The following is an 18,201-nucleotide window of genomic DNA, read 5'->3' on the forward strand; positions in this document are numbered from 1 at the left end:
GAGAAACCCCCACCTCTACTAAAAATACAAAATTAGCCAAGTATGGTAGCACACTCCTGTAATCCTAGCTACTTAGGAGGCTGAGGCAGGAGAATTGCTTGAACCCAGGAGGCGGAGGTTGTGGTGAGCCGAGATCACGCCATTGCACTCCAGCCTGGGCAAAAAGAGCAAAACTCCATCTCAAAAAAAAAAAAAAAAAAAAAAATACCCAAGTGAAATGTTAATAAAGCCCCCAGGGGTCTCTCTGCTGCCTTCAAATGATGGAATGGACACTAGATGGAGCGTGCAGAAAGTCACATGGGTTACAAAAACAAGAGTCCCAGGGACTAGAAGGACAGAACCCAAGTTATGGGGGGACCTTAGCAGCCCTGCCAAAGGTCCAAAGCAGGTGAGGAGAAACTGAACAGCTCTTCCAGGTCCCCAAGGAGTGGAGCCCACAAATCAGTGCACTGAGACTAAAAGAAGAGGCCCCAGGGCCTGTAGCTGGGAGCAGCCAGGGCCAGGCAGCCGCGACATGAGCTTCAGCATCTGCCATGCCCATGATTAATCCCAGCTCTGATTCTAGAGTCAGGGCTCTATGAGACCTTGGGCAAGTCACTCAACATTTCCAAGCCATCGGTGACATGTGATCATCATGCCAATCTGGAGGAGAACCTGTCAGAAGACAATGTAGGGACAACATGTTTATTAGGTTAATGGCTAAAGGGGAAAAAAGGGTTTCCTCCTGTTCTCACAAACCACCCAACACAACATTTTGACAATCAGTTCTCCAGCAGACACCACCTGCGTGTTCTCTAATTCAATTCCATTCCGACCCCATCTACCATTGGTTGAGGGCTAAGTCCCACAAGACTGCCTCCACTTCAGATGCTGCTTGCAAGTAGCAGGTGGTTACCTATCCTTTTGATGACCCACTATAAATCAGAGATTCCTATGACCCCCTCCTCGGTGTGATTAATCTGCTAGGGTGGCTCACAGAACTCAGGGAAACACATTACTTATGTTTACCAGTGTATTATAAAGGATATAGATAAACAGCCAGATGGAAGAAATGCATGGTGTAAGGCATGGCAGAAGGGTGCTCCACCTCCAAGAACTTTTTGCCAGAAATGGGGATGAAGACCAACTATGCATTTCATAATATCACAATGGCCAGACACAATTCCTTTTAGGGAGAAGTCTTTGCAAGACCAATTTCATGAGTGCTGGCTGGCAGGTGGGCATACAAACACACACATACACATACCCAGGACCAGGGCACCAACTGTATACCAACTGTGGACCAGACAGCAAAAGAGGGGAGGAGTTGACCTTCATGGGCCAGCATGAAGAACAGGGGGCTTGCTTCTGACAAAGAGAAGGGAGGACCACAAGTGGCAGGCCAGCAAGCTGACATGAGCCTAGGATGAACTGTGGGGCAGGGAAACCTTGTGTGGTAAAGGGGCCAGCAGATGCTTTCAGAACTTGGAGGCTTCTGGAGCCAGTAAAAGTTGCTGCCCTATGTAATCTTCTCTAGGGAGGCCTATTGTGATCCTGAACCTTGCACATGAGTGAATTCTCTTGGTGGAATCTGCAGACTATCAGCACAGTGAGAGCATCACAGAGATGGTTGGTGGGGAGATGGACACCCAGGAGGCAGAGGCCACCTTGAGTCCCTGGGAGTGCGTGGGAATCTACAAGAAGGACTCAGCATGCTGGAAGCTGTGAGATTATCTGAAATTATGCATATATCTTTGAGGAGCGAGTAGGCCTGCTGGCACCTGGGCCACCCTTGTCAGAGGCTTGGCACCATCCCAGGTCCTTGTACCTCCCGCCCTACTTGCCTTCTTCCCTGTATTCATTTCCTCAAACTTCTCTGCCTGTCACAATGTGCTCTGAAAGTCAGAAGCCCATGCTGCATCAGGACTATCCCCATCTTAGGAAATAAAACAAAAGGAATATTGGGTTTCTGTGAAATGAAGGGTGTGTAAGCCCCAAGGTCTTTGGGCACCCCAGGACACTTGCACCCCTGTCAAGAAGGGGCAGAGATGAGGAGTAGATCTGAAAGTTAAATCACTCCAAATGGGTTTTCTTCATCTTCTTCTACTTAAAAAATAATTCATAGTACTAGACAGGTTGACAACTTATTAAAAATGGTTCCTCACCTGGAAAGTGCTGATTACTTACAGTGTACTATCTTTATTACATCCATACTGACATTTAACACTCAATAAATCTCCACTCCCTCCATGAAGATATGTCTGACAGCCAACGGCAGTCCCTGCCTTTTCTCTGACTTCTAGCATGGGGTTTGGCTTCAGGCAGCTGAGCTGTGCTCTGCTACCAGGACCCTCAAAGCCAAGGTAAATCTTAGTGAAAAAGACCAGTCCCGGGATGGCTTTGTCCAAGCTGACGGCTCCTCCCCCAGCACAGCCAAGACCCCCATGTGCTAAAAGCAGCCAAAGCCCAAATGTAAAGGGAGATGGATAAGAGCTGTGTATGTGAGGGAAGGAATAAATGTTCCTGCCATCTCCCTCACCACTTGACCTGGTATGATGGCCAAGGCCCCTCACTGTGGTTTCCCCAGCCACCACAGTCCTCTCCAGGAATGACCACCCATCATCCTCCAATAAGTAAATATGCCCCCAAACTCTGGGCCTTTGCTCATTCTTCTTCAGCCTTCTTTCCTTTGCATCCATAAGCTACTCAATTAATGCTCTGAATCTTCCCCACTCATCTCCCCTCCCCCTTTATTTAACCATTCCACTTCCCTTTTTCTGTGAAAGGTTGTCTTCATGATATTATTATAAAAATCATTTTATGTTGCATCAAGGCATAAGAATGACACAGTGGACTTTGGGGGCTCAGGGAGAAAGGGTAGGAAGGGGTGAAGGATGAAAGACTACAAATTGGGTTCAGTATATCCTGCTTGGGTAATGGGTGCACCAAAACCTCGCAAATCACTATTAAAGAACTTACTCATGTAACCAAATACCACCTGTTCCCCAAAAAACTATGGAAATAAAAAATGTAAAAAATAAAATAAAAAATAGTTTTATATTGCATCCACATTATTTAGTATTAGGAAATGCTAGTACAAATAAAATATATCCAGTGAATATGTAAGTTTTGAGACCCACTGAAAATACTCATTCATCTGTGCATCCTTTCAGCTGTTTTATAAATCAAAATTATTTTTCTCTCCTCTCATTCGAGTCCCTGCACAGGTTTTCCTCAGCAGCTGAGCTTGAAGGTTTCCATACGTTGGCTTCTAATAAGAACAGTGGCAGCCCCAAGCATTGCTCAGAAACTCCATCCACAATATCTGAGGCAGTGCCATGCAAGAGCTCCAGGTATGACCAGAGCTAGCCAGTCCACACAGCACCTCCTGCAAGCTGGGACTCTGTCCTCCTTTCTACTGCACCTGAGCTCACTTTTCTGATGGAAAGACAGAGACAACCAAGAGCTGAATCCTGACTTCTTGAACACTGCCTGCCCCTAGTGCAAATTCCTGCAGGAAAAGTGCACAGTGAATAAGGTGATGAAAATAATGGCTTGAGTGAGGGAGCAGGACAAAGGTGGTTATAAGCCCAAGCTCCATAAATGAACAGCTGGGTATGGGTCCTAGGTCCAAGCCTTACTATCTATGACATTGTGCAAGCTATTTATTCTCCCTAAACTTCAGGGGATAATAGCTGTGCCTATTTTATAGAGTATATTACTTTCCTATTGTTGTGGTAACAAATTACTACAAACTTAGTGATGTAAATGACACAAATTTATTATTTTTCAGTTCTCAGGTTAAAAATCTGCAATGGGTTTCACTGGGCTAAAATCAAAGGGTCAGCAGGGCTGTACTCCTCCTGCAGGCTCTCGCGGAGAATCCATTTTCTTTCCTTTTTCAGCTTCTATAAGCTTCCCGCATTCCTTGACTCGGGGTCCTCTTCGTCTGTCTTCACAGTCAGCCCAGGTGGATCGAATCCTTCTCGCATTGAATCACTGTGACTCTCCAGCCTGCCTCTTTTGCTTGTTAAGACTCTTGTGGACGATCCAGGATAACCTTCCCAACTCAAGGTCAGCTGATTAGCAAACCAAATTCCCTCTTGCCATGGAATAAACTGTATTCAGATTATGGAGATTAGGATGTGGACCTCTTTGGGGGCCATCATCCTTCCTGCCACATAGGGTTGTTTGGAGAGTCAAGTGAACAATACTTGGCACATAAGTGCTCTTTAACTGTTGGAAATTTCTGTATTTGGTTCCAAATCCTTGTGTGAACTCCTGGCCCTTGGCAGCAAAGTACATGGGGGAGCCAGTCTGGTCTATCTGATCCAAGCTTCTTTTCTCCTGGGCCCTGTAAGAGTGAGAGGGCCACTTCCAAGTGGGTGATAACTATGGACCCAACTCACCACATGGATTCCTAAAAGGCCATGCTTACCAGAAGGATGAGTAAGGTCCAAAGATGGCCCACCTGAAAAGCCAAGAGCTTTAACCTCTTTGTTCTTCACAAGGAAAGCTCTACTGTAGACCCCAAGGCCCAAACATGACCTTGCCCTTGACCCACGTGGCCTTTAGTGATGGAATGAAGAATAAAAAGAAGGGCTTAGTCAGCCATAGAAATTAAGGAGCAACATTAGAGCCCACTGCTGTGGAGTATGATCCAGGCACAGTGAAGTGTGCCCCAAACATGGAAAGAAAGTGACTTGGTAATAATAATACCATCAGTAGCTAACATTTTTTGAGTACTTCCTACATGCCCAGACCTGAATGAAAAGCTTTATGGAGTTTATCTTATTCCATCCCCACAGGAGTATGAATGGGGGAGCATTATTATGACAGTGAAATGAGCAGGCACTCACACATGGGTGGAAATAGCTTGCTGTTAGCAAACTGATAGCTGAGAGATGTGGGATCCCTGAAGTTCCATCCTTTGACTTGGGCAGGTCTCAAGGATACGGTGCTAGGAGAGGACTAGTACACATTACATTGAAACCTATGCATCTGAGCTGAACCTCCCTGAGATAATAGTGTGAGCAGGAGCAGTGAGGCAAGGGCCTTTCACAAGGAGGAAAATGCCCACCTGTGCCCACCACTGTCCATGCCAGTCCACATGAAGATGGAATCTCCTTGGCAGGTCGCTCCCTAGAGAGAAGATAGAATCAGTTCCACCCAGTTTGGCAGGCAGAGCTTGGGAGTTGGGCCTGGTTTTAATGCCAGCTCTGCCATGAAAACACCTGTGACCTTAGGAATGTTCTTAATTTCTCTGTGCTTAGACTTCCCATCTATCAGATGATGATGATATTAATAATAGCAAACATTTATGTAGGTGTTTACCAAGTGCAAGGTCCTGGTCAACGAGCATATGTGTTAACTCTTATTCCTTGTAGCAACCCAATAAGGTAGGTATTAATGTTATCCTGTTTTACAAATAGGAAACTGAGACACAGAAAGTTTATATTAAACAATCTGCTGAAGGTCACAGAGCCAACGGTGGTCAGAGCTGGGATTTAAACACTTAGAGTCTGGCTCTAGCCTCAGGGGTCTGACCACTACTCTATACTGCCTCACAACATGGCTGCCATGGTTTGAATGTGTCCCCCAAAAAGCCTGCGTTGGAAACTTCATCTCCAATGTGACAGTGTTGGAACATGGTGCCTAATGATAGGTGTTTGCATCCTGGGGTCATTCACTTCATGAATGCATTAATGCCTTTATCATGGGAGAAGTTTCATTGTTGCAGGAGCAGGTCCATTATCATGGGAGTGGGTTTCTTATAAAAGGGCAAGTTTGGCCTCTTCTCCTTCACTCATTCTCTCTCTCTCTCTCTCTCTCTCTCTCTCTCTAACACACACACACACACACACACACACACACACACACTCCTTCCACCATGGGATAATACAGCAAAAAGGCCCTTACCAGATGTTGGCCCCTCCATCTTGGACTTCCCAGCCTTCAGAACTATGAGCCAATAAATCTCTGTGCATTATAAATTCTCCAGTGTCAAGTATTCTGTTACAGTGCACAAAATAGACTAAGAAAATGCCTTACCTCCTAAGGCTGTTAGGAATTAAATAAGATATCTATGTAATGTGTATGCAGTGTCTCACATGTATAATAACAGTATATAATACATGCCAAATATGATAAATATTAAACACATAAGAAATGAATGGAGGCTCAGTGATAGAGCACTCAGCCCAGTCCAGGGGCCTATAGGGACAGGTACTATTGTTTTCAAATGGCCAATGGTGTGACCAGAGTTACAAGGAAATGCAAGTCTTCCATGGAACCATCTCTGACTTGTGCGTCAGAGACAGCCCAGAAGGTCCAGAAGGTGTGCTCAGAAGGTCTGTCCTGGCAGATGTAACCAAGAAGCCCTGTGCTGCATTTGACTTGTGTTCTCTCCAAATCATGCAGGGCTGGGCCTGGGTCTCCCTAATGAAACTCCAACGCGGATTGTCAGAGGTTTGTCTGGCACATCTAGAACTGGATAATGCAACCTAAATGCACTATTATTCTGGCATAGCCACACTCCCAGACCTGAAAGTCCAGTACCCAAAGGTGGGCTCTGGAAGATAGTGGAGGTGTGGGTGGCAAGGTGACAGAGGCAGGGTGTGCACTGAAGCAGAGTGAGACAGCCACAGAGGCCAGATCTAGGTCTAGCAAGTGTCCAGAGAGAGGTGGTCATCTCTAGTCCAAATCACTTCTCTCCCTGGTCCAGGTGGGGTCGTTGTCACTAGGGAGTCAGAAGCCAGACAAGCAACATGAGGTGGCTCTTCATCACATGCCCTGGACATGCAAGGGCACCTCAACTCTCTGCCATTCCAGGAGCTCTGTGGCAGCTGCTCACTTATAAGACATGTCCTATGAATCATTTGCAAGAAACAGGTGTCAAAAAAGATATACTATCATCCAAGAGCCATGAGCAGTGACATTGACAGGCATGAACACCTTCCAGACTTTCTTCCCGGGTTCAGAGCACCAATCTAGTCACTGAAAGCAAAGAACAATTAGTCCTGCCAGATGGGGCATGTATCAAAAACCATCTCCCAGGGCATAACCAATTAAAGCCTGGGTTTTAAAAAGCCGATTGATTTGCTCAAAGGAGCAAACTCCTGGCTGCAGGGGCTCTTCCTGCTGAGCCATTTCTCTGCATTTCCTAAAGCAGATCTAAAACCTCCCTATGGATTTGGTTTTCATATGGCTATGCACAGAGTCCGTTGATAATCCCTATGCTTCAAAGCACTTGCCAGGCATTTTTCTGATGCATATTCATTTAATCATTCAACACAATTTCACTTCACCCTTTCACCCTGGAATCTGTACCCTGGGAAGGCCAGCAGCGAAGTGCTGGGGCAGCAGATTGGATGGACCAGGCCAAGTTGGCTGGCACAGTCTACACCACACCACAGAGGTGCGGACGGGGACCTCTGAGCCAGTCACTCCCCTCCAGAAGCAAGACAATCTCACTTGGCATCCACAGCCAAGCAGAGCCCAAGGAACAAAGAAAGCCTACCCATTACAGGAGATTCAGATGGACAAAATCAGTAATGAAAAGCTCATCTCTCATAGAAAGGAAGAGTACCTATGATTCATTTAGCATTGACTCAAATTTTGATTTTTAAATTCTAAAATGAAGAATGTGGGATGCTGTTTTATTGGCCCAATCAGAATTAATGAGTAAATGAAAACAGAAAGAAAAAAGGAAAAAAAACTTTCTTCGGGGCAGGGGAAATCACTCCAAATTGTATCCTCGTGTTTAAGTCACCCAGGCATCCTGGTATCAGGCAAAGGCCACCATTTCATCCAACAGTTACTCGTACTGCTGTGCTGCCAGCTTAGTGCCAGGCAATAGGCATACAGAAATGAGGAGACACCAGGTGCTGCCCTCTGGGTCACTTTTCTACTCATTGTGGCCTCACAAGGAACATCTCTGGTACCTGGCAGCTGCCTGTTTAGAAACCAACAATAACACTGCCATAGAAGCTGAGAATGCTGCTAACACAGGGAAGAACTGGCTCAAGCCACAACAGAGAAAAGCACAGGGTTAGAAATAGATCTGCATTCTGCACTATTTACAATAGCAAAGACTTGGAACCAATCCAAATGTCCATCAATGATAGACTGGATAAAGAAAATGTGGTACATATATGCCATGGAATATTGTGCAGCCATAAAAAAGAATGAGTTCATGTCCTTTGCAGGGACATGGATGAAGCTGGAAACCATCATTGTCAGCAAACTAAAACAGGAACAGGAAACCAAACACCGCATGTTCTCACTCACAGGTGGGAGTTGAACAATGAGAACACATGGACACAGAGAGGGGACATCACATACCGGGGCCTTTCGGGGGGTGGGGGGCAAGGGGAGGGAGAGTATTAGGACAAATACCTAACGTATCTGGGGCCTAAAACCTAGATGAGGGGTTGATAGCTCCAGAAAACCACCAAGGCACATGTATACCTATGTAACAAACCACGTTCTGCACATGTATCCCAGAACTTAAAGTAAATAAATAAATAAAAGAAATGGATCTGCATTCTGAAGTTCCAGAGCAGAAAGGCCATGACTTTAAAATTTCTTGGGCCGGGTGCAGTGGCTCACACCTGTAATCCCAGCACTTTGGGAGGCCGAGGCAGGCAGATCACAAGGTCAGGAGTTCAAGATCAACCTGGCCAGTATGGTGAAACCCTGTCTTTACTAAAAATACAAAAATTAGCCAGGCATGGTGGTGGGTGCCTGTAGTCCCAGCTACTCGGAAGGCTGAGGCAGGAGAATCGCTTCAACCTGGGAGGCGGAGGTTGAAGTGAGCCAAGATCGCGCCACTGCACTCCAGCCTGGGCGACAGAGTGAGACTCCATCCTTCATCTCAAAAAAAAAAAAAAAAAAAAAAAAAAAATTTCTTGGACCTCAGTAGGGCAGCTTTTCCTCTATTGGGTGGATCTTTTTGGGCAGCTTCTCTTCACAGCCTAAAGCCAGAGACTACTCAAGAAACAACATCTCCCATTCATGAAAACCTCCTGGTTTCGTGACCAGCTCAACCTTCCTACATAAGCCTGATACGTTCCTTGATCTCTAGAAGGCTCAGTTTTCCCATCTGTGAGTGGTAATAATATTAGCCAATATTGAGGAATTGTTAAGAGAATTACGGATAACATTGTGAGTGTGTAGTAAGTCTCCAGCACACAGTGATGCTCAGTAAGTGATTGTTGATTACAAAATAGAAATGATGTTATCTACGTCTCAAGATTTTTTGGAAAAAAAGCCATGAGGTACACCCACCACTGAGCCTCCCAGTTGGTGACTAGATAAGTAGGAGGCCCTGCTAAGGCCCAAGAAATTGGAAAGTCGTGTTTCTGCTCTGGAACTTCAGAACGGAGATTTATTTCCATCCCTGTGCTTTTGTCTGTTTGTGGCTTGAGCCAGTTGTCCCTTTGATCATAGGAATTTTCCCCCTTTCCTTCACCAACCCGCTCCTGTCCCAGCGTGTGGCAGCAGAGACCACAGCCATGGGGAGCTGTCACAGAGACCATGGCATAATGGTCCAGAACCTGGCTCTAGAATCAGACTGCCTAGGTTCAGATCCGAGGAGCACACATTACCTAAGCCATCGGTGCCTCTGTTTTCTCATCTATAAAATGGGATTGTAAAAGTAGCTCAGAGTGCTGCTGCAAGGATTTAGTGAAGCCATGCATATAAAGAACTTAGCACAGTACCTTGCATATAGGAAATCTTAATAAATGTTAGATATTAGAATTATTATCAACATCAGGAATAAGATAAGATGAAAGGAATACAGTCCCAGGAGTAGGAGCTAAACACAGGAGGATGAATTCAAGTCTCCAGCAGAAAACAAGCACTGCCAAGCAGCAGCATAAACAAGCCAGACACTAGAGCCTAAAAACTGGGTCCTTTCCCCAGTGCTTCCTGTCTAGGATCCCATGTGACCCTGAGAGCCTGCTTCCCCAGTCTATATTTGCCAGTGGCCATCTTGTCTGAGAATGACAACCTACTTCAAGGGGCCATGCCCAGGACTGCCACATCCAAGAGGTTTCACACCATCTTAGTGTCCTGCAAAGCTCAGCTCAAACTCGCCATCTCTTCCACAGCACTGACTGCCACCTAGACATGACTCAGCCATATGAAAGACCCCTTGTGGGTGAGCTGAAGGCAGAGTCATGCCTCACAATTCACTGCAGCTCCCCTTCTTTCCACCGCTATCTGCCACACATGAATTTCTACACAGCCTCAGCCTTTTTTGCTTTTAAGTGCAGAGGATTGGGGTGGATTTGACAGCAGTTCCTCTTCTATTCTGTCAGTACACACACTCCTCATCCTGGGGCATTTCCACTATAGCCAAATCAGAGAGATGAATCCGGCCCATCGTGCTATTATTCAAAGCTGGTGTAAGACTAATGTTCTCATTGGAGGGGAAGTATTTTAATCTTACAACTCCAACCATGATCATCTGGGAGTGTTGCAAATCAGATGCCAAATTCCACCAAAGGAAAATGCAATAACATGGAGTTATAAGCCAATCACATGCTCTGTGATTTGAGCATATAAATGTAGAAGCCCAGCATGAATCTTCAAGAGCATCCTGGTTTTGCCTAGGGAAGGGGAAGGTTGAGGAGTGTCTCAAAAAAAAAAAAAATCCGAAATTACATCTTAAATAAAAAATCCAATCCAGCCCATGAGATGTGAATCAAAAAGTATTTGAAATCAGGCCAGCATTTTGTCAGCAATTTGAAGTTCTGAGCTCAGGGCCTGGACTCGGGGTTTCGAACCGTAGGTTTCCAACTTTGTTTCCTACAGTCCACTCAACAAAGTAAGATGAAGAGCAGCATTTTTGCATGGTGTATACAGGAATGTTAGGTTAAACAAAGCTAAACATGTTTCTTTCCGAAGGTACTTCTCAGAGCCTTCACTACGCTAATAATGAATGTGAATCTCCAAGAGGGGGTTGGGTACGCAAACTTCCCCCAAAATGAATTGAACATTTAGAAAGGGATGACTTGTAGGACATATCAAGACCCATCAAATCAGGGGTTCAAGGAACCTGCAAAAACAGGGTTGTTGGTCCTCCAGAGGAAACCAAATGAGCTCCACTCTTAAGCAGCCATATTCATTTGCTCATTAGGAGCAAAGAGCCATAAGTGGAATCTAAGATGAAGTAGTTATGACAGAAAGTCACGTGTGGCAGCCTCCATTCAAGCAGACTTTAAAAACATCAGAGAGCAAGCAGTAACACCCAGAAAGAGAAGACCAGTGCCCAAAAGCACCAAAGCAAAAATTACATAGAAAACTTGAAGACCCACCAGGAACAAGCCAGAAAGCCCTTGTGAATCCTGAGTTGGGGCAATCCTCATTATAGAAGCGGTAGCAGAGGCTCTCAGAAGTCCCCTGGTACTGGGAACTTCTGCTAGAAACATGCCAGAGCAGAAAGGGTAGCACCATAAAAGGCTGTGACCAAGAGATGGGCAGGTCCTCCTCTCAAGGCAGTCCTCTGCCACCTTCTCTAAGACTCCCAACTTGATGATGCACCAGACCCTTTGCAAAGAGTATTACATCCATTCTTTCATTATAACTTCATAATCCTAATCCTAAAACATATGTGCTATCAGCATCCCTGTTACATGACTAAAGCAACTGAGGCTCAGGAAGAACAAGTAACTTGTCTAAGGACACACAGCAAAGAATAAGAGCCAGGAGCTTCTTGTGTGTTTGTTGAATGAATGAATGAATGAATGAACAAATATGGAGAAAGCGTCTCTTGCAAACACTTCTCCACTAACTTAAAGGGCTGGTTTAGAATATAGCAATAGAGTTTTGATGATCTGCTGACTTCATTTGATTGCAACCCTCTGCCTGAAAAATGACAGGCCCCTCTTCTGTGGTTCACCTATCACCAAAAACCCTAGCATCAGCAACACTCCACATGCTGCCATACTGCAAACTGGGTCCAATTACAGGGAAGGAGGGTCAGCTCTTGCCTGACTCAGTTGAACCCAACTAGCAGCCCCTCAAGTTTAGCCCAAACTTACCCAGCAGTACATTGCTATCAACTCCAATAATGGGGCATGCTGGAAAAATAAAACAGAAGATGGTTCTTAGGAAAAGATTTCCTCTTCATCAATTCTACTTTTCTAAAGAACAAGCAGCTTGCTATCTCTCAGTAGGTTCTAATCAACATCACAGAGAAGTAGATGAAGGGCTACCACACAGAGGGTGGGAAGAAGGAAAGACTGCACCAGGAAGGAAGGGCAGGACCTGCAGGGCAAGCTGATGGGAAACACTGAGCCTCGGTTTCCTTGTGAGGATCCCCCACTACTCTGAATCCACCCACCTGGCTGCTTCTGCTATCCCCACTGCAGTGGTCTGAACCCCCTCCATTTCTGGGTCTCTCCAATGGCCTCCCACCTAATCAACCACTTCTACGCCAGTTCCCTCACCCCCTGCCACCCATCAACCACAGTAACCAGAGTGAACTTCTAGAAACACAAATCAGATCACATCACACCTCACTTAAAATGCAGCAACTGCCTCCCTTCTCACCTGGTAGAGCACCCAAATACTCCACCGTGGTCTCCAAGGGCCTCATCGGTCCTGCTCATCCCATCCTTCTCTTGCTCACTCTGCTAGAGCCACATGGGCCTTCCTGCTTCCAGGCTCATTCCCACCTCAGGGCCTTTGCACCTGCTGTTTCTTCAGTATGGGATGCTGTGACCCAGGGCCAGACCCTTCTTGTCATGCAAGTCTCAGCTCAATCATTGCTTGCCACAGGACAACCTTCCCCAACCAGCCAACATCAGCACCCTCAACTGACCCTTGTCAGTCCCTCTACCAAAGCCTTGTGTCCTGTTTTCCTCATAGCATATACCATTACTTAAAATTATCCTACTTATTATTTATGTTTTACCTCCTGTCTCCAACACACACACACACACACACACACACACACACACACACACACACCCCTTAGAATGGGGCTCCTTAAGAGCAGGGACTTTATGGGTCTTATGGAGCAAGACTTTATGGGTCCCTGCTCTTATGCAGGGCCTGTTCACCTGCACCTCCAGAACCTGGAACAGTGTTAGGCACAAAATAGCTGATTAATAAATTTGTGCTGAATGAAAGAATACTCCAAAAGGTTCTCGTATGAATGAAATGAGATTATTATCTATAAAGAATTTTGTGGAGGCATGGCACCAAATAAGCACCAAACACACAGTATTTCCAGTAACAACTCTCTTATCTAACATGGTCAGGAGCAGCTAATAGGGTAAGCAAAAAGTTTAAAGCAGGAATCACTGAAATTGTGCAGATAAATGTGTATGTGCATATACATATTTTCTATATATATATATATATACACACACACACACATACACACAAACCATAAACACTATTTCAACTTAAAATATTTCATGCTAATATTTTGGTGTAAGGCCAAGGCTTCTATTTGAGCTGTGTCTCCAGATTGGAGTTCTACATCTTTGTTTTCCCTTTTTAAAAATTATAATTCATTTTTCAGGCCTTGTTCAGCTGGTAAAAAAAATAAAAAATAAAATTATAATTCATGACTTTTTATATCATCTATGATTTCCAAATTTGGCTTAAAATGAACTAAAAAACTGGAGAACTCGTCTTAAAAAATGGAGAAGGAATTTAAACTCATATGTGAAACCAATTGAGGGCAAAATTCTTCTAGGATTATGTACATATGTCTTCTAATCTTTATCAGCTGCCCTGCCTACAACTAATTTGACAGCCATCATTGCTAGTAATTGACTTTTATCAAGTCGTTCAATGCATGCAACTTGATTTTTTCTAAGAAGCAATTCTCTTTTCGCTCATATTTTACTGGGTCACTCAATATTTAATTAGATTATGTTAGTACAATAACAAGCTCAGCAAGCACAGGAAGGACTGGGAAGAAACCCAGCTCTGTGACCCTTGGTAAGCATTCACCCAAGTGCAGAGGAAATGGGGGCACTCAAAGAAATACTATGGGTTCCATGCCAGCTATGAATGCCCAGCAGGCTGTGGACTTCAGTCAGTGGCTTCTGTAGAAGAGTCGAGAAAACTCATGAATTTGTGACTTGGTTAAGAAGTGGGTTGGCCAGGCATGGTGGCTAATGCCTGTAATCCCAACACTTTGGGAGGCCAAGGTGGGCAGATTGCCTGAGCTCAGGAGTTCGCAACCAGCCTGGGCAACACGGTGAAACCTCATCTCTACTAAAATACAAAAAATCAGCCGGGCATGGTGCTGTGCACCTGTAGTCCCAGCTACTGGGGAGGCTGAGACAGGAGAATTGCTTGAACCCGGGAGGCAGAGGTTGCAATGAGCCAAGATCATGCCACTGCACTCCAGCCTGGGCAACAGAGTGAGACTCCATCTCAAAAAAATAAATAAATAAAAGAAGGGAAGTGGGTTAAGAGAGATTCTATGATGGTAGCAATGTAATTGTAGTTACAGTCAGAGAAGATTAAATGGAAATATGCCAAAATGTTTTCCCTGGAAGATTGTTATATTCTTAACACTTTCCTATGTCTTTCAAATTTTGACAATGTCCATAAATAATATTTCACAAAAACAGAGCAAATTGTGCTCTTGGCTGAGTCAAAGGATACAAACTGCTGACAGTTACTATCTCTAGAGCCTCTGCTTTATGCCAGCAACTTACATATGTTACCTCGAGTCCTCGTGGTCACTCAGCAAACTGATAATCAGCTTTATTATATGATCAGCCAGCCTTAGAACTGTATGACTGTGTTCACTTATGACGGTCAACATTTAAGACCAGTTCTCTATCCCAATACTGTATTCCCTCCTCTGGTCTAAAAGCCACCAAATGTAGTCAGTATTTCCATCAGCTGGCAGGACATCAAGTCAATGAGCCATCAGCGCTGACCAAATCCTCCTTTCTTTCACTGTCATGTCCTCTACTTTGTGAGTTGATTAGAAATAAAGTCTTTCCTCATCTGTTCTGGCCTTCCCCACTGCCCTCCCACCCCTGACTGCAGCCTGTTACCTCCCTCCCCCACCTGTGGGCTCAAGACTCCCAGACCTGGGACAGATGTAGCTGCATCAGCATTTGCCCTCTAGAGCCTGTGCCTGTATTGCCCTGTCTCACTTCCCTTCCTGGACTGTGGACTTCCTTCTTGCTCTGCCATCTGCTATCTGTGTCCCCGTCCCCTCTATCTGCCCACCTGTGCTTCTGCCCTGTTCCAGCCCTGACCTCCAGGAACCCCAGGCCTCTGCCTTGCCCTCCAAGAAGTACAACCCACAGCATGGCCTGGCCTCTGTTTACCCTGTGCTCTACATGGTGCCCTAGCTATACCTCTTCCTGGTGACTCAAGAAAGATTCAGACCTCTGCTGACCCAATTTAGTACTGACACAGCACAGGAAATTGTTGGGGTTGGGGTGGCTCACAGGTGATGGGTAATGTGGATGGGAAGAGGGTCTCCAACACCAGGTATCAGCAAAATTCTGGTGGCAGCTTCAGATAGACAAAACCCTACCAATGACCATAGAACTTAACTACCAATGACCCTTAAATTCAAAGGACTTACTGGTTCCAATTATCAAAGAGAAAGATGCAGTCCTAGAGACACAGAGAAAGAAAAAAGATCAAGAGAAAGGGAGCAAAATCAAAAAGAGAGGCCAAGCATTGTTGAAACATGGCATCTTCCCACATTTAATATTCTCATCCCATTTCCTTCTACGAAAAGACTTAATTAGCAACCTCAAATAGGATCTCAAAGCAAGTGATAAGGAAATAGGAGCCTATAGGGAGAAAGTCACAGCACAGGGTTCTAGAAAAGTATAGATCCAGACAGGTAGCGTTCACTGCCAAGAACCTGCAGGAGGCTGGCCTCCCGGGAGTCCCTAATACTGGCGGACAGAGATGGGTTTCAAATCCCAATTTCTTCACTTCTTTCTTGAGTGGCTTTAGGTACATGTCTGAACCTTTCTGAGGCTTCATTTCCTCACATGGAAAGTGGTGATGGTAACACCTACCTCACAGGATTGTGGAGGCTTAAATGAGTTCAGGCCAATACCCAGATCAGCAGCCATGTCTGGAGATGTTTTTGGTTGTCACATCGTGGTGGGTGGATGGAGATGCGCCATGGGCATCTCTCAGTAGAAGGCAGCAGGGATGCTGGCAAGCACCGGTCATCATCCTGCAGGATACAGGACACCTCCCATGACAAAGAAGGATCCAGTGCAAAATGGTGACAGTGCCGAGCTAGAGAAGCCCTTCCCATGCACAGCACAGAGTCAGCCTCAGCACGTTTTAGCACCCACAACCCCTCCTCTCCTTACTTCTCTTTATGGATAGTGAATTGCCTCAGGTAAGGAGTCAAGGATCTCCTTTTCATGTATTTTCTGTACAAATAAAGAAGGTAAAAAGGCCGGGCACAGCACCAGGCTCTCCCCAAACCTGGGAGTTCCTTTCCTTCCCTGTCTTTTTGCAGAGCCGTGCTGAGCGGGCAGCCAGGTGCACAGCAGGGATGCACCTCAGGCCGATTTGCTAGCTGACTAGCACAGGGGCCTTGGGGCAACACCTGTCGCAGACTGGAAACTGGGCAGAACAGCAACTCCAAGGAGGCTGACTGCAGAGAGACAGCCAAGCCTGGGCAGCACCTCTGAGACGCCCTCTCGTTTCCACTCACAGAGATAAAAAATGACCCTCCTATTGAACTGTTTAAGTGTGCCATTTTCCCCAGACTTGACAGCAATCCCATATTCAGAAGGTAAAAGTCAGAATTCATTTATTCAGTAATTCACTCAATTATTCAACAAACATTGGTTTCATGCTTTGGTGTGCACAGCACCCTCGTGGTTTGTGTTAGAAAAAAAAATTCAGTGTTATTACTTTTGAAACTCTGTAACTATTTAACCAAGACATCGATGGGAATGAATAAGTGACAGAGGGAAGGAAATGTTTAAATCTCACAGAATCTTGGATCTGACTAGCCTCATTTTAAATGGTGAAAATAGCTGATAAAGTGGTCAAAGTTAATATTATTCCATTATTCACTCTCTGTTTATTAAGGCATCAGAGGTGATTCATTGAGTTTCTGAAGCACAGTATTTTTAAAATCCTACTCTTTCGTGAGCAAACTATTCCAAGACACAATTTGCCTATATTATGTAATAATGTGTCTTCCCTAGAGATGGCCCAAGTAAAGCTACTTGGTTCTCATTCCTAAATTCAGTAAGGCCTGTTTCTACCTTGCCTGAGTTTGTGAGAAAATGCAAGGGAAAGTGCCTTGACAACCAGAAGACCTGGAACAAATGTTGGCCTCTATTACTCATATCAGCCATCATAATTTTCAAATTCCTGGGAGGTAGAAGGAATGAGGCTTGGCTTTGTGCTTCTGGGTGCCAGACTCCAAGTTGCGAAGATGCCTGTCCTTTTTCCATTTATTGACTGCCTCGCCTGGGAAGGTTCTGCCCTCTTAGCTGACACAGCACAGGAAGACACTTCCCTCTTGCAGCAAATGCAGCTTCAGAGAGGCCTGAGATCTTGCTTCTACGTTGCTTGCTCCTTTGCCCACTGCCTTGCAAGAAGATCTGTGGAGGCCTCTGAGGACGAGGCTCTCAGTTGGAAGAAGCCAAGAGCCAGCCTTCAATGTTGCCAAATGCCTGTCTGGCCCAAAGCAGGAAGTCTGCAAGAACACACCCACAGTGCTGAGTGTAGAGCTCGTTTGAGGATAAAGTGCCCACCTCTGAGCTCAGCTCAGCACCTCATAAAGCGAGGCTCAGACGGCATGAATAAGATGTATCTCTAAGGCGAAGTGAGGCTTGCAGAATTTATGCGCTCCTGGGGCCCCTTGCAAACAAGCTTAAACCAACAGTACCTGCCTCTCCTTCCCTTCTGTGTACCATCTGACGTGGCTCCTAAGACTGCCTCTTGTATTTGTCTGGGGTATGCCTAGGCTGAGCAGGCAGGCAGGAGCATGTGTGGCCTTTGAGAGGCCCTGGTTCCCTCTGGGGAAGGACTGCTCAGAAACACAGACAAGAGGCCTTCGCCATACTCTGTTGGCTTCTGCGCAAAGGAAAACAGGTAGAGAGAGCCAGGAAGCAAACAGAGAAGGAAAGTCATTTACAGGAACAGCCTGAGTGGAGAAACCAGATGTGGGCCAGTGTCAGCAGCAGAGATGGTCTGCTGCATAATTCATCCATTGTGGGTCTGTTTATGTGT

At 45.5% G+C, this 18,201-nt stretch overlaps 1 protein-coding gene across 6 annotated transcripts in view; it reads right to left on the reverse strand.

Annotated features, from left to right (window-relative positions):
* The window catches only part of GALNT18 (polypeptide N-acetylgalactosaminyltransferase 18), a 351,129-nt gene that overhangs the window by 213,535 nt on the left and 119,393 nt on the right, over positions 1–18,201 (reverse strand). The window lies entirely within an intron of this gene.

This window comes from Homo sapiens, chromosome 11 (genome assembly GCF_000001405.40).
Source record: "Homo sapiens chromosome 11, GRCh38.p14 Primary Assembly".
In the NCBI taxonomy this organism is placed as follows: Eukaryota; Metazoa; Chordata; class Mammalia; order Primates; family Hominidae; genus Homo; species Homo sapiens.